At 63.8% G+C, this 12,528-nt stretch overlaps 1 protein-coding gene across 2 annotated transcripts in view, besides 2 other annotated features; it reads right to left on the reverse strand.

The window, feature by feature from the left end:
• The window catches only part of CASKIN1 (CASK interacting protein 1), a 19,426-nt gene extending 7,234 nt beyond the window's left edge, over nucleotides 1–12,192 (reverse strand). For both annotated transcript variants that reach the window (XM_024450361.2, NM_020764.4), the window contains exons 1-14: nucleotides 11,926–12,192; nucleotides 5,894–5,945; nucleotides 5,660–5,757; nucleotides 5,006–5,151; nucleotides 4,825–4,920; nucleotides 4,614–4,744; nucleotides 2,940–3,048; nucleotides 2,753–2,861; nucleotides 2,565–2,659; nucleotides 2,294–2,411; nucleotides 894–995; nucleotides 698–786; nucleotides 538–622; nucleotides 364–455 (exon numbers count right to left, since the gene is read on the reverse strand). In XM_024450361.2, the coding sequence (XP_024306129.1) occupies nucleotides 364–455; nucleotides 538–622; nucleotides 698–786; nucleotides 894–995; nucleotides 2,294–2,411; nucleotides 2,565–2,659; nucleotides 2,753–2,861; nucleotides 2,940–3,048; nucleotides 4,614–4,744; nucleotides 4,825–4,920; nucleotides 5,006–5,151; nucleotides 5,660–5,757; nucleotides 5,894–5,945; nucleotides 11,926–12,019 (1,416 nt within the window). In that variant the 5' untranslated portion in view covers nucleotides 12,020–12,192. The remainder of the gene's footprint in view (nucleotides 1–363; nucleotides 456–537; nucleotides 623–697; nucleotides 787–893; nucleotides 996–2,293; nucleotides 2,412–2,564; nucleotides 2,660–2,752; nucleotides 2,862–2,939; nucleotides 3,049–4,613; nucleotides 4,745–4,824; nucleotides 4,921–5,005; nucleotides 5,152–5,659; nucleotides 5,758–5,893; nucleotides 5,946–11,925) is intronic.
• Nucleotides 4,702–5,470: an enhancer, noted in NCBI's record as "H3K4me1 hESC enhancer chr16:2239116-2239884 (GRCh37/hg19 assembly coordinates)". NCBI's record gives its function as "activates a minimal SCP1, AML or CMV promoter by ChIP-STARR-seq in naive H9 embryonic stem cells {active_cell/tissue: H9 hESC(naive)}" and the evidence as "EXISTENCE:reporter gene assay evidence [ECO:0000049][PMID:30033119]".
• Nucleotides 7,406–7,606: a silencer, noted in NCBI's record as "peak2469 fragment used in MPRA reporter construct". NCBI's record gives its function as "represses an SCP1 promoter by STARR-seq MPRAs in K562 erythroleukemia cells {active_cell/tissue: K562}" and the evidence as "EXISTENCE:reporter gene assay evidence [ECO:0000049][PMID:32103011]".
• Nucleotides 12,193–12,528: the final 336 nt, after the last annotated feature.

Consider the following 12,528-nt stretch of genomic DNA (forward strand, 5'->3'; position numbering starts at 1 on the left):
CACACGAGTGCACTCACACACCATACGCCGTGCCCATGCACACGCTGCACCATCTCATACCCATCCCCTTCCACCTGTACACAGACACGCGTGCCCAGCTCGCAGTCCCACCATCACACACACACACGCACACACAGAGGCACAGGTTGGCCCACACGCACAGCCTGCACAATGACGACACCCGTACACACAGGCAGACACACACACAACACACAGACTGACAGACAGAGGAGAGGGTCTGGCCTGGCAATGCCCCCGACCCCGCCGCTGCCAGGCCAGGCAGGCCGTGTAAGCACCCATCAGCCCATCGGCCTTACAGCCTCTCCCCGGAGCCCACGCTGAGAACACCCCCAAGCCCTGTACCTTGCCCTCCGATGCTGGCTCCAGCTTCTTGGGCGGCTGCTCCCCATAGACCTGCCCGGCGTGGGCCACTGGAGGCTGGGACCGGGCCACACCTGAGGACGAGAGTGGGTGGGGGACAAGGGCTGTCGGGCTGCTTTCCTCCATCGGGCTGCGTGGCAGCACCCTTGCTCTTACCTGCAGAGCCTTCCGGAGGCTTGGCGGGGCTGTCCCCCGGGCCGGACTCAGAGACGGACTTCTGGGAAAGCACCGTTGCCAGGAGCTGCAACCCAGAAACCCCGGCTTGTCACCTGCTCCCAGCCCTGGCCACCCTGGCCCTGGCCACTACCCCACCTACCTTGACGCCTTCAGAGCCCGCGTGTAGGGCGTGACCCCCGCTGCCCCGGCCGCCAGCCATGCCGCTAATGCTGCCGCTTCGGTCCCCACCTGCCAGCACAAGGGAGCAAGATGAGGCCAGTGCCGGCCCCTGCCTGGCCCCACGGTGGTGCCTTGTGGAAGTCCTGCCACCTCTGCCCTTCAGGGACCCAGCCTACCTGCAAAAGGCTTCCTCAGCACCCAGATCTCCTCTGGGGGTGCAGAGGGTCCCGATGAGCTGCTTCCCTGGGGCAGGCTTGGTTCAGTGCCTGCTCGGGAACCTGTGGGTCAAGCAAAGCCTCCTAAGTCCTGGGCCAGCGATGGCGGGTACTGACGCAGGGGAGGCAGGACAGAGACTGGCGCAGCCACAGCCGGGGGTCCTCTCTGCCCACCATTGTCTCCAGGGAGCTGATAGCCCCTCGGAAGACCCCTCCCACCCCAGACGTTTAGAGCAGGAGAGAGGCAGAGACAGCCAAGCCTAGGCATCCTGCCGGTGGCCCTGGGGTCCTGTGGGCAGGGGGCCAGAGATTGCTGGACGGTATGAAAGTCTCTGTACTGGGGAGTGGGGGGCAGGCAAGAAGCCCCCCACAAGCTAGAGCCAAGGCTCCCACTCAGGAGCTAGATGGCCATGGTCGGGGGCTGGCCCTGCCTGTCAACCTCCAGGTCCTCCATCAGCAGTAAACGGGCCCCTGGTCCCTTGCAGCTGCCACATGGGGCTTCACAGCCTGGGCCCCTGGCCTAGTCCCTCTCCTCAGCCTCCTGTTACTCAGATGTACCCAGCTCTTGCCTGCCTCAGCGCCTTTGGTTTTTTCCTTTTTTCTTCACCAAGAGCAAACACTTGAGTGCCTTTGTTTTAATCATTATTTTTTTTTGAGACAGGGTCTTGCTCTGTCACTCAGGCTGGTGCAATCTTCGCTCACTGTAGCCTCCACTTCCCAGGCTCAAGCAATCCTCCCACCTCAGCCTCCCAAGTCGCTGGGGCCATAGGCGCACAACACCATGCTTGGCTAATTTTATTTTTTGTAGACATGGAATCTCACTATGTTGCCCAGGCTGATCTCGAACTCCTGGGCTCAAACAATCCTCTAGCCTCGGCCTCCCAAAGTGTTGGGATGACAGGCATGAGCCACCACGCCTGGCGCCGCCGGCTTTTAACGCACGGCTCCTGCCACCTGGAACCCACCTGCCTCTCAGAGCATTCTCTGGCCTTCTCTGACTGCCTCATCTCAAGCAGGCCCTCCCTGTGCTCCGGGTCACATGTCCTTTCATGTTTACTTCGCTGTCCCCTGCCCTCTCCTGCCCCAGGACGAGCTCCTTGGGAGTTGGGTCCCCATCTGTTCTAGTGGCCGGTTCAGAACCAGACATGGCAGCACACAGTGCTTGGTAGAACGCATAAAGGAATAGGTGTGGGAACGGACGAGGAGACGGCCGCTGGGGCACCCTGATGCTCCCCACTCAACCCCACGCTGGCACCCAGAAACCCAGCCCTGCTGGGCCCCCACACCCTCAGCACACTCGCTGCTTCCAGCCCCCAAGCCCAGGGGCTCCTGCCTGCCCCCCAGGGTGGGGTGGAACTTGCCTGCTCGCTTGACAATGGCCTCGCCCAGGGAGGACGGGAAGTAGCCCACCCGGTCATTGCCCGTCCGGTTGTCATGGATGCAGCCCTTCCACCGGCCATCCGGATGCTGCTCGAGGACCTGGCCAGTAAGGTGGGGGGCGCTCAGGGAGATGCCCCCTTTCGCAGAGTCTCCTGCCCAGTGCCCCCCAGTTGCGGCGGGAGGGTGTTCTGGGGTGCGCACGCCCAGGTGCCGCCCCCTCCCTGCTGAGATGGCCCCTGGGGCCATGCTTACTGTGATGATGTCCCCTGCCTTCACGTTGAGGCTGGTCAGGTCGTAATTGTTGCAATAATCCTTGGTCGCCCGGACCTGCAGGGCCGCTGAGGCCTCTGGGGATACAGGAGGGGGCCCCCGAAGTCCTGCGGGCTGATCTGGCCCAGCCCCAGCCCCAGCCACTGCCCCTCTGCCCTGCCTGGGCCCACCTCGCAACAGCTGCTTGATCTCCCTGCTGGCCTGGGACGTGGTGAACTGGTGCACGATGTCCAGGGCTGTCTGGCTGTAGGTGTTCCTCACGTGGGCATTGATCCCGCTCTGCACATGTGAGAGATGAGGCTCTGTCAGGAGCCCCTACAGTCCACTGGGCCCAGCGCCCCTGGGCCCCACACTCACATCCAGCAGCAGCCGCACCACCTCTGTCTTTCCGCAGAGCGCAGCCTCGTGCAGGGCCGTGCCGGACTTGGTCTGGCGGTTAATGTCGATGCCGGCTTGGAGGAGGAGCCTGGCGGGAAGGCAAGGTGGACAGGCGGGGCCTTCCAGCAGGAGGCCGGCCCCAGCACCCCCAAGCCAGGCCTCCATTTCCAGGTACCCCAGCAGTCAGCTTGGGGGCTGAGGACCGTCCAGCCCTGCCCCATGTCTCTGACATTCACTGAGTGCTGAGCGCTTTTTTTTTCTTTTTGAGACGGAGTTTCACCCTTGTCGCCCAGGCTGGAGTGCAATGGTGCGATCTCGGCTCACTACAGCCTCCACCTCCTGGGTTCAAGCGATTCTCCTGCCTCAGCCTCCGGAGTAGCTGGGATCACAGGCACCTGCCACCACACCCAGCTAATTTTGTATTTTTAGTAGAGACGGGGTTTCACCATTTTGGCCAAGCTGGACACGAACTCCTCCCAAAGTGCTGGGAGTACAGGCGTGCGCCACTGCACCTGGCCTACTTTTTCTAAGACGGGGTCTCACTCTGTCACCCAGGCTGGAGTACAGTGGTGCAGTCATGGCTTACTGCAGCCTCAAACTCCCGGCCTCAAGCAGTCCTCCTGCCTCAGCCTCCAGAGTAGCTGGGATTACAGACATGTGTGACCATTCCCAGCTTTTTTTTTTTTTTTTGCCTTTGTTTTTGTAAAGACCACGTCTTGCTATGTTGCCCAGGCTGGTCTCAAATTCCTGGGCTCCTGCGTCAGCCTCCCAAAATACTGGGATTGCAGCATTTTGAACCACCGCACTCAGCTGCTTTTTTTATAAAAAGTAGAGATGGGGTCTCTCTCTGTCACCCAGGCTGGAATGCAGTGGCACCATCCTGGCTCACTGCAGCCTCGACCTCCCAGGCTCATGCGATCCTCCCACCTCAGCCTCTCAAGCAGCCGGGACTACAGGTGTGCATCACCACAACCAGCCGATTTTTTTTTTTTTTTGAGACAGGGTCTTGCTGTGTCACCCAGGCTGGAGTACAGTGGCACAATCATCGCTCACTGCAACCTCAACCTCATGGGCTCAAGTGATTCTCCTGCCTTAGCTTCCCAAGTAGCTGGGTCTACAGGTGTGTGCCAACACACCCGGCTAGTTTTTGTATTTTTTGTAGAGATGGGGTCTTGACATGTTGCCCAGGCTGGTCTCGAACTCCTGGCCTCAAGCAATCCTCCCTCCTTGGCCTCCCAAAGTGCTGGGATTACAAGTGTGAGCCGCCGGGGCACCCAGCCCACAGTGAGCACTGTTGAAGGGCCCTCCCTGTGCTAAGACTTCCCAGCTGTTATCTTGTCTGATGCTAGTGTAGGCGCTGCTGTGAACCCCACTTTACGGATGGGAAAGTGAGGCTCAGGGAAGTTCAGCACCTCCTCGAGCACACCCAGGAGCGGTGGGGCTGGGACAGAGACGTCGCAGAAGCCCCCTTCCCAGCCCCTGCAGCTCATCCTGTACATGGGCCCTGGAGGCCATGCCAGAGGCCTGACCAGGGACCTGGGACCCTGCCTGCTCCCGCCCTATCCCCAAGCCAGAAGCTGGTGCCCTGAGCCCCAGGCTGCTGCTGAACCCTGGGGACCCTAAGGCTGAGGCCCTCCCTGCTACCGGCTCTACCTGATGATGTCGATGTGGCCGTTTTTAGCTGCGAGGTGCAAAGGGCTGGTGCCGTTGGGGTCGGTGGCGTCTCCCGGCCGGGGCTCCAGCAGCGCCGCACACATATTGCTGCTGAGGAGCAGCTGGACCACCTTGAAGGAGGGGTCAGGGTAGGGGGGTCCTGATGTGGGGCTCCCCAGCCCCACCCCACAGGGCTCCACAGGAGACTCACCCCAACGCGGCCGAACTCGCAGGCCAGGTCCAGGGGCGTCTTCCCCGAGTTGTCCACCATGCACGGGTTAGACTGGTGCTGTAGCAGCATCTCAGACTGGGGGCCAAGGGCGCAGTCAGGTCCGCACATCCTCAGGCCGCGCTGCCCCGCCCCCGCTGCCCCGCCCCCGCTCGGGCCTCACCACATCATAGTGACCATGCTGGGCCGCCAGGTGCAGGGGGATGTGGCCCTCATCAGACGGGATGTTCACGGCCGAGCCCGCCTTCAGCACCAGCTTCATGGGCTCCTTCCGGCCCTGCCAGGCCGCATAGTGCAGCGGCCGCATGCCTGGGGGGCGAGGGGATGCTGGGAGCTGACCCTTGACCCCAAACCCAACCCTGGAGGATAGGGGGGTGCTGGGACCTGACCCCTGACCCCAAGTCCAACCCTGGGGGGTGGGAGGGCGCTAGGAGCTGACTTCTGACACCAAGCCCAACCCTTGGGGTTGGGGGCGGGGGTTTGCTGGGAGTTGACCTCTGACCCCAAGCCCAACCCTGGGAGGTGGGAATGCTGGGAGCTGACCCTTGACCCCCAAGGCCAACCCTGGGAGGTGGGGGGAATGCTGGGAGCTGACCCCTGACCCCAAGCCCAACCCTGTGGGTTTGGGGGGTGCTAGGAGCTGACCCCTCACCCCAGCCCCACCCCTGGCCTCCAGGACCCTGATCCCAGGAGGACCTGCCTGAAATCAGACTGAGACCCTGGGCTGAGACCTCAGCCAAGGATCCATGCAGGCCCTGGGGAGCCCCCCTCGCTGCCCCCGCCCCTGCCCCCACCAGAGGCCCTCGGCTAGTCTTGCCTTTGTTGTCCTTGATGTCCACAGCGGCCTGGGCCTCCAGCAGCAGGCTGATCAATTCCGTGTTGCCGTTCAGGGCCGCATGGTGCAGAGCCGAGAAGCTGGCACGTGCAGAGGACACATAGAGCAGAGGCCCTGGCGCCCCGGCCTTCCCGGCACCCTGCCCTCCCCCGGCACCTAGGCCTCTCTAGGAGCCACCCTCCCTTCCAGGCAGGCACCACCCGGCTCAGAACTCACCCATCCGGGTCCTGGAAGTTGACATTGATCTTCTTGGTGGAACCCAGGAGCTCTGGGGATGGAAGGAGACTCAGTGAGGGGAGGCTGTGCCAGCCCCTCCAGGCGGCCTGAGGGCAGGGAGAGGGGGCCAGCCATCTCCCCGGCAGGCACAAAGCTGCTGGGCTCTCAGTCTGCAGACACTCACTCGTCCACTCGTGCACTCACGCGTTCAGCTCTGCCCCGCAGCCTGCCCCAGGTGCCAGCTGCTCGGGCCTTGGTGTCCCATTGCCCTGAGATGTGGGGGTTCACAGTACTAAGGACTCCGGCCTGGAGTCCTTGTCCCCACCTGGGGATAGGAGGCAAGGCTGTGCACCCACACAGGCACACACATGTGCACGCACACCCCTCCCTCGGGACACTGGCTGAGCACCTGCCAATGGTGGGAGGGAGAGAGCCGGCCCAATCTGTCTCTCAGAAGGATCCAGATGGGGCCGGGGGTGGCCAGGGAGGCTGGAACACCCGGAAATGGGGGTATCTCTGGGGGAGGATCTGCGTCTCCACCGTGCAGCACCCCCACTGCCAGCCCTGGGCCACAGCCAGTGTGGATGAGCAGAAGTGGGAGGCAGGCGAGTGGGCTGGCACCTCTGAGCAACCTCACGCGAACGGCTGCCTGCTCCCTGGCGACTCGGAGCACCTGAGGCCAGAGGGGCCCACGCCCTCCCTTCAGGGCCCCAGCGTCCTCCTGGGGCCCCCCGCATCCTGGCCTCCCCCAGCCAGCTGCCAGAGGAGGGAAGCCCACCGATGCCCTCCCAGTGGGCTCTAGTCCAAGCAGACTTGGGCCAAACCCCCGCCTATCTGGGCCGTGGTTACATAACCCATTTGTGGGTCAGTCACTCTGAGAGGGGAGCTGGCAGGACAGAAGCCCCTTTGTCCAGGCCCAGGACAGGGTGGGGGCAGGAGCTGAGGGCAGGGGAGTTGAGGGAGTCGAGGCACAGGGCTGTCTGCAGGGCTTGCACAGTGACCCACAGCAGCCCCTGCTGCCCCGGCCTCAGTCCCAGCCACTGGACACAGGGTGCGGGTCCCCTGATGACCCACGAGGCTGGCCGAAGGAGCCAGACTGCTGTGAATTCGAATCTCTGCTCTGCCACTCACCAGCCTGTGTCCTTGGCTGCTGGCGCCCTCCCTGAGCTGGAGCCGGGGGTGCTAACAGGGCCTCCCGGAGGTGTGAGAGCATTCCCAGACATAAAGCGTGCGCGGCCTGGCACAAGTCAGGACTCGGTGCATGGCGATTACTAATATTAGCCGTACAGGAATCCCACCCCCAGCTCTCTCCAGCCAGGGGTTTCTTCTGGCAAGCAAAGTCGTCTCCAGCCTCACCGGCCCCTCCCCCTCTGCTCAGACACTGCTGGCACCAGTGTCCCTCTTGGTTAGTGGCAATGCCATCCTTCCTGACCATGGCCCAGGCCAAAACCTTGGAGCCAGGCCTGGGGCCTTTCCTGCACACCTATAGCTTGTCCGTCAGCTCTGCCTCCCAGACATCCCCAGAGCACACTTGGAACCCTAGCCCTTCTCCCCACAGCCACTGTCACCAACCTGGTCCAGGCCGGCATCTCTGGCAGGATAAGTGCCATCCCCTCCCCACTGGTGTCGCTAAGGTCTTCCCACATCCCTCGGTCCAACCTCCACACCCACCCCGTCGGGGTTCCCTGGGAAAACATGAGTCAGGCTCTGTGCCGTGGCTCACGCCTGTAACCCCAGCACATTGGGAGGCTGAGGTGGGAGGATCACTTGCAGCCAGGAGTTCAAGACCAGCCTGGCCAACATAGCAAGACCTTGTCTCTACAAAAAATAAAGGAAAAAAAAAGTAGCTGGGCACGGAGGGGTGTGCCTGTGGTCCCTGCTACTTGGGAGGCTGAGGCGGGAGGATCGCTTGAGCCCAGGAGGTTGAAGCTGCAGTGAGCCGGGGTCGCACCACTCACTGCATTCCAACCTGGGTGACAGAGCAAGACCCTGTCTCAAAAAAAAAAAAAGGAGAGAGAACATGAATCAGATCTTGCCACGCCTCTCCTGAAGACCCCCTGGCAGCACTGGTCTCACTGGGAGGGGAGGCCGACAACGGACAGTGGCTGTGCTAGGAGGGGAGGCTGAGACTGGACAGTGGCCGTACGTGGGGCTCCTGCTTTGCTCTCAGTTATCATTACTTCCCTCATTCCTGCTGCAGCTACACAGGCCTCCAGACGTTCCTCCAACATATCGGCTGCCCTGTCCAAGGCCTTTCCACATGCCCTGTGTGCACGTGCGGCCTCCTCTTCCCTAGTTAACCCCACAGCCTCCCTCACATTTTTCAGATCCTTACCCACAGGCTGCTCACTCAGCATGCCCTCCCCATCCGAAGTGACCCTGCCCGCCCCGCAGCTGCTGTGCCTGGCTCTGCAGCCCTCGTCACCACCAGCCACGTCAACCTCCTTCTGCTCTTGCTCCTACCCATCTCCATCACTCAACTACCAGCACCAAGGGGACAAGGGCCGTCATCTGTTCTGCTCACGGAGGAATCCTCGGTGGCTAAAATGGTGCCCCGCGCAGCTGAGGTGCTCAGTTGCGGACTGGATCGATCTCCTCATCCCCCACACTCTGCCTGGCCGCCGAGGCGACTTAATGGGTGTGCGGCCTGTGCTTGGCTCAGAAGGACCCCATGCCTGCGGATGCTCTCCTGTCGCCATCTCGAAATTCTTTTTCTTTTTTTTTATTGGAGATGGAGTTTCATTCTTGTTGCCCAGGCTGGAGTGCAATGGTGCGATCTCGGCTCACCACAACCTCCACCTCCCGGGTTCAAGCAATTCTTCTGCTTCAGCCTCCAGAGTAGCTGGGATTACAGGCACGCACCACCACTCCTGGCTAATTTTGTATTTTTAGTAGAGACGGGGTTTCTCCATGTTGGTCAGGCTGGTCTCGAACTCCCGACCTCAGGTGATCCGCCTGCCTCAGCCTCCCAAAGTGCTGGGATGACAGGCATGAGCCACCATGCCCGGCCTGAAATTCTTATTTTTGAGCAAGGGGCCCTGCGTTTACATTTTGCATGGGGACCTGGGAATTATGTCGTGGGGCCTACCACCATCCCTTGCCATTAGCTAAAGGGAGCGCAGGTGTCACTGTCCCGTGCATCCCCGCCAGGACCACACTCAGGAGGTTCTCCCCACAGAACGCTGACCCCCACTCTTCCCAGCTCCAGGGTGGACAGCCCTCAGCATGTCCCCAGGACTGTCCAAGCCAGGCCCTGTCCTCCCTCCCACAGCTGAGGCAGCCAGTGTGGAAACCACCTTCTCACCCAGCCACACCTTCAGGGGCTGAAATCTCGGAGAGGCTGGAGGTCAAAGCCCAGAAAGTAACATCTGCCAGTGGGGGAGGGTGTCTCCCTCAGGAAGGGGACCACCCCCATGTGAGGAGGGGTGCCTTACTAAAGCCATCTCGTCCCTCTCCCCACTTATGGTCTCCTCAAGGGGGAAACTGGCTGAAATTGGATGGCAGCAACTTGAGGTCTTGGGACACACTAACCCCCATTCCTGTGGGGGGACAGTGGGTACCCAGGAAGGTCCCAGAACTGAGAAGGGCCTGGGGCTGGGGGCTGTTTTCACCTGGAAACGGGTTCTCTGGATGAAGCAGGAGCAGAGCATGGCTGGAGGGGGCCGGGGCCAGGATGAAAGTCCAGGAGCCCCCCTCCCTCTCCACGAGGTCCCTAAGCCCTGTGACTCTATGACAGTAAAGGCCTTACCCCCGACCAGCCCTCTCACTGCTATCCTGAGCCTGTCCCCACCTCTGGGGTCCAGTCCATATCCCAGGCTAGAAGGGAGCTACTAGTGGGCTATTAGAAGGTGAGAGGGGGATGGGGAGCTGGCCCTCGGTGCTCAGGGGTGTCCTCCACGGCATTCTTGGGCCTGCCTCCATGGACAGGGGGCCTCCATGGATAGGGTCCGGGTCAGAGGGAAGAGTGGGTCCCTCCTGGCCAGCAGGAGGCCAGCCCCTGCACCGGCATCTCCCCCAGAACAGGCTCCTCTTCCCCTCAAGGACAGCTGCTAAGTGTGTGCGTGCGGGCACGGGAGGCTCCCTTCAGGGCAGGGCGAGTCGGGGGCTGGCTGAGCCTGGGGTGACTCTGGAGCAGGGGCTGGAGGGAAGGGACTGGGCAACCAGAGGGGACCATGGAAGCAAAGCTCATGGGGACAGCCCTGGGCTCACGGGGCCCTGGAGGATACTGCTGGACACCCCCCACCTCGTGGCCCAAACTCAGCTGTACTTTACTGAATCAAAATACATCTTACTCCAAAGCAGGCCAGCGTTGCCATGACGACGGAGCTAATTCATGGAGGGATTTCTCCTCTGATTTATTACACCCGCCCCTGTGAGTCAGAGAGCAGGAGCCGGGGCCAGGGCAGGTGTCTCTCCTGTCCCAGAGGCCAGGCAAGACAGGCAGAGACCCAGGTGAGAGTGGAAGCCCCCACACCTCCCCAGAATGGCCACAATAGAAGGGAGGAGGAACCTCCCCAGAGCTGAAGCCCCCACTTCCCCAGCCCCTGGCCCTGGGCCGTCCAAGACTGCGGTCATTGCTGGCATTTACTGAGCACTTACTGAATGCCTGGGCTGCAAGTGCCCAGGCTCACTGGTCTTAGGACCCCACCGTGAGGCTGACATCCCATCCTACAGACGAGGAGACTGAGGTCCACTGAGCTGGAGTTGTCTGTGTCCAAGGTCATGCGGCCACTAGGTGGAAACCTTTACCTTGCCTTCCCTCAATCCCTACACCTGCTCTCCAGGCTCAGCTGAGGCTGCCTCTGCCCACAAGCTCTCCCTTTCTGAGCCCCCGGACCTGAAATCAGCTCGGGGCCAGCCTGCAAGGCACCGGTGCCCCCTCTCTCTTACTGCACAGAGTGGACAGGAGCTAGCCAGTCATGGGCTGCTGGTGAAGTACGGGGGAGGGGGTCCTCCTGGGACTCCTAGGTGCCCCCAACAATCTCCCAGAAGCCAGTCCCAGTTCTCGGCATCCCCCTGGAGGAAGGGGAGGGGGACTCTCTGGCTTACAGTCTGTGGGGGTGGAGGGAGGAGGGAGGACGCCCAGACCCCACGTGCCGACCTGCAGAGCCCTGTCCGTGCCCGCACAGGTGCCCTGACACACTGACACGGCTATACGTGCGCAGCCGCACACGCGGCTGGTCCACACGCCCATCCATCCATCTCCGGCGGCCCCCAGGGAGGCTACGCGCTGAGCCAGGATGAGTGCTGGGACCAGGGCTCCAAGCTCCCAGCCCTTTCCTGGGGCCGGCCATAGGGCAAGCTGGGGATGGCCAGTGGTGGTCCCCCACTCCCTCATGGCCTCCTTTCCCAGCAGGGAAGCTGGAGACCCGGCTCTGCTGGAGCCTGCCTGAGCAGGGCCCCAAGCCCTTGCGCCCAGGCCGGCCCTGCCTGGAGTCCAGCCTGCCCTGGGCTGGGCGACCTTGGGCCTCTGCTCTCCCATCAGTAAATGGCACCCCACCGGCCATGCCAGGGCAGCCACACCCCCAGCGTGGTCCTGCCCCCACCTTCCCTGCAAAGCGTGTTATTAAACGTGGGGCGGGAGGGGGTCTGCTAGGGACTGTCACCTCCCGGGTCGCCCCTCGCCGCAGGGGCCCCCTCCCTGTCTTCCCGGTGCGTGTGGTGGGTGGGGGGGGCATCCGCCTCGCCCTTTGAAGGCCCCAGCAGAGACCTCCAGCTGTCAGCCCGCAGCCTGGGAAGGGAGGGGGACAGAGGTAGAGAGAGAGGGATGCGAACGCCCGCGGCCCGGGAGGCGGGTGCCGCCAGGTGCCCGCTGCGGGGCTCACGGTGGCGGCCGGCTCTCGGGGCCGCCCCATCTCCAGTGCTGGGGGCAGCGGGTGGAGGGCACGGACCAAGGGTCTGGGCGCTGCTGGCCCCGCCCCGCCCCCGGGGACCCGACAACGTCCCCTCCCCGCCCGGCGCCGGGTGGGGGGCTCCGCGCCGGGGAGGGGCCCCCGGGGCTCCCACCCGCGCCCCGCGCCCCCGGCACTCACTGGCCTTCCCGGGCCGCGGCCTCTGCAGCAGCCTCTGCGCGGTCCCTACGTCCTCCGCCTTCACCGCCTGCACCAGCTCCTGCTCCTTCCCCATGGCGCGGCCGGGGCCGCAGCGACGCGGCTGCGCTCGTGAGCTCGGCGCGGCTCAGAGGCGGCGGCGGCCCCGCGGCACCGGCCGCCTCCCCCGCCGCCTCCCCCGCCGCCTCCTCGCCGCCCGCCGCCCCTTCGCCCTCCTCGGGCTCCGGCTTGGGCTCGGGCTCCCGGCGCGGAGGGGGCGGGGAGCGCGTCACGGGCGGGGGGCGGCCCGGGGGCGGGGGCGCGCGGCGGGCGCGGGGCGGGGGCGCGGCACCTGGCGCCGCCTCCCGGACGCCGGGGTCCGCTCCCGGGCCGCCGACCTCCGTCAGCCCGCGCCGGCCGCGCGCCCGGGCCCGTGGCTCCGCCCTCCCCGCGCCCGCCCCGGGACGCCCCCTCCCCACGTGCGCGCAGCGCGCTCAGGCCAGGCCTCTGCGGACGCGGGCGGCCTGGGGCTGCTAGCCGGGCTGGGGACGCGGCCGCCGGGGGTGCACTGGGAGCCCCGACGCGGCGGCGGCGCGGGGCTGAGCC

Source organism: Homo sapiens, chromosome 16 (assembly GCF_000001405.40).
Source record: "Homo sapiens chromosome 16, GRCh38.p14 Primary Assembly".
NCBI lineage: Eukaryota > Metazoa > Chordata > Mammalia > Primates > Hominidae > Homo > Homo sapiens.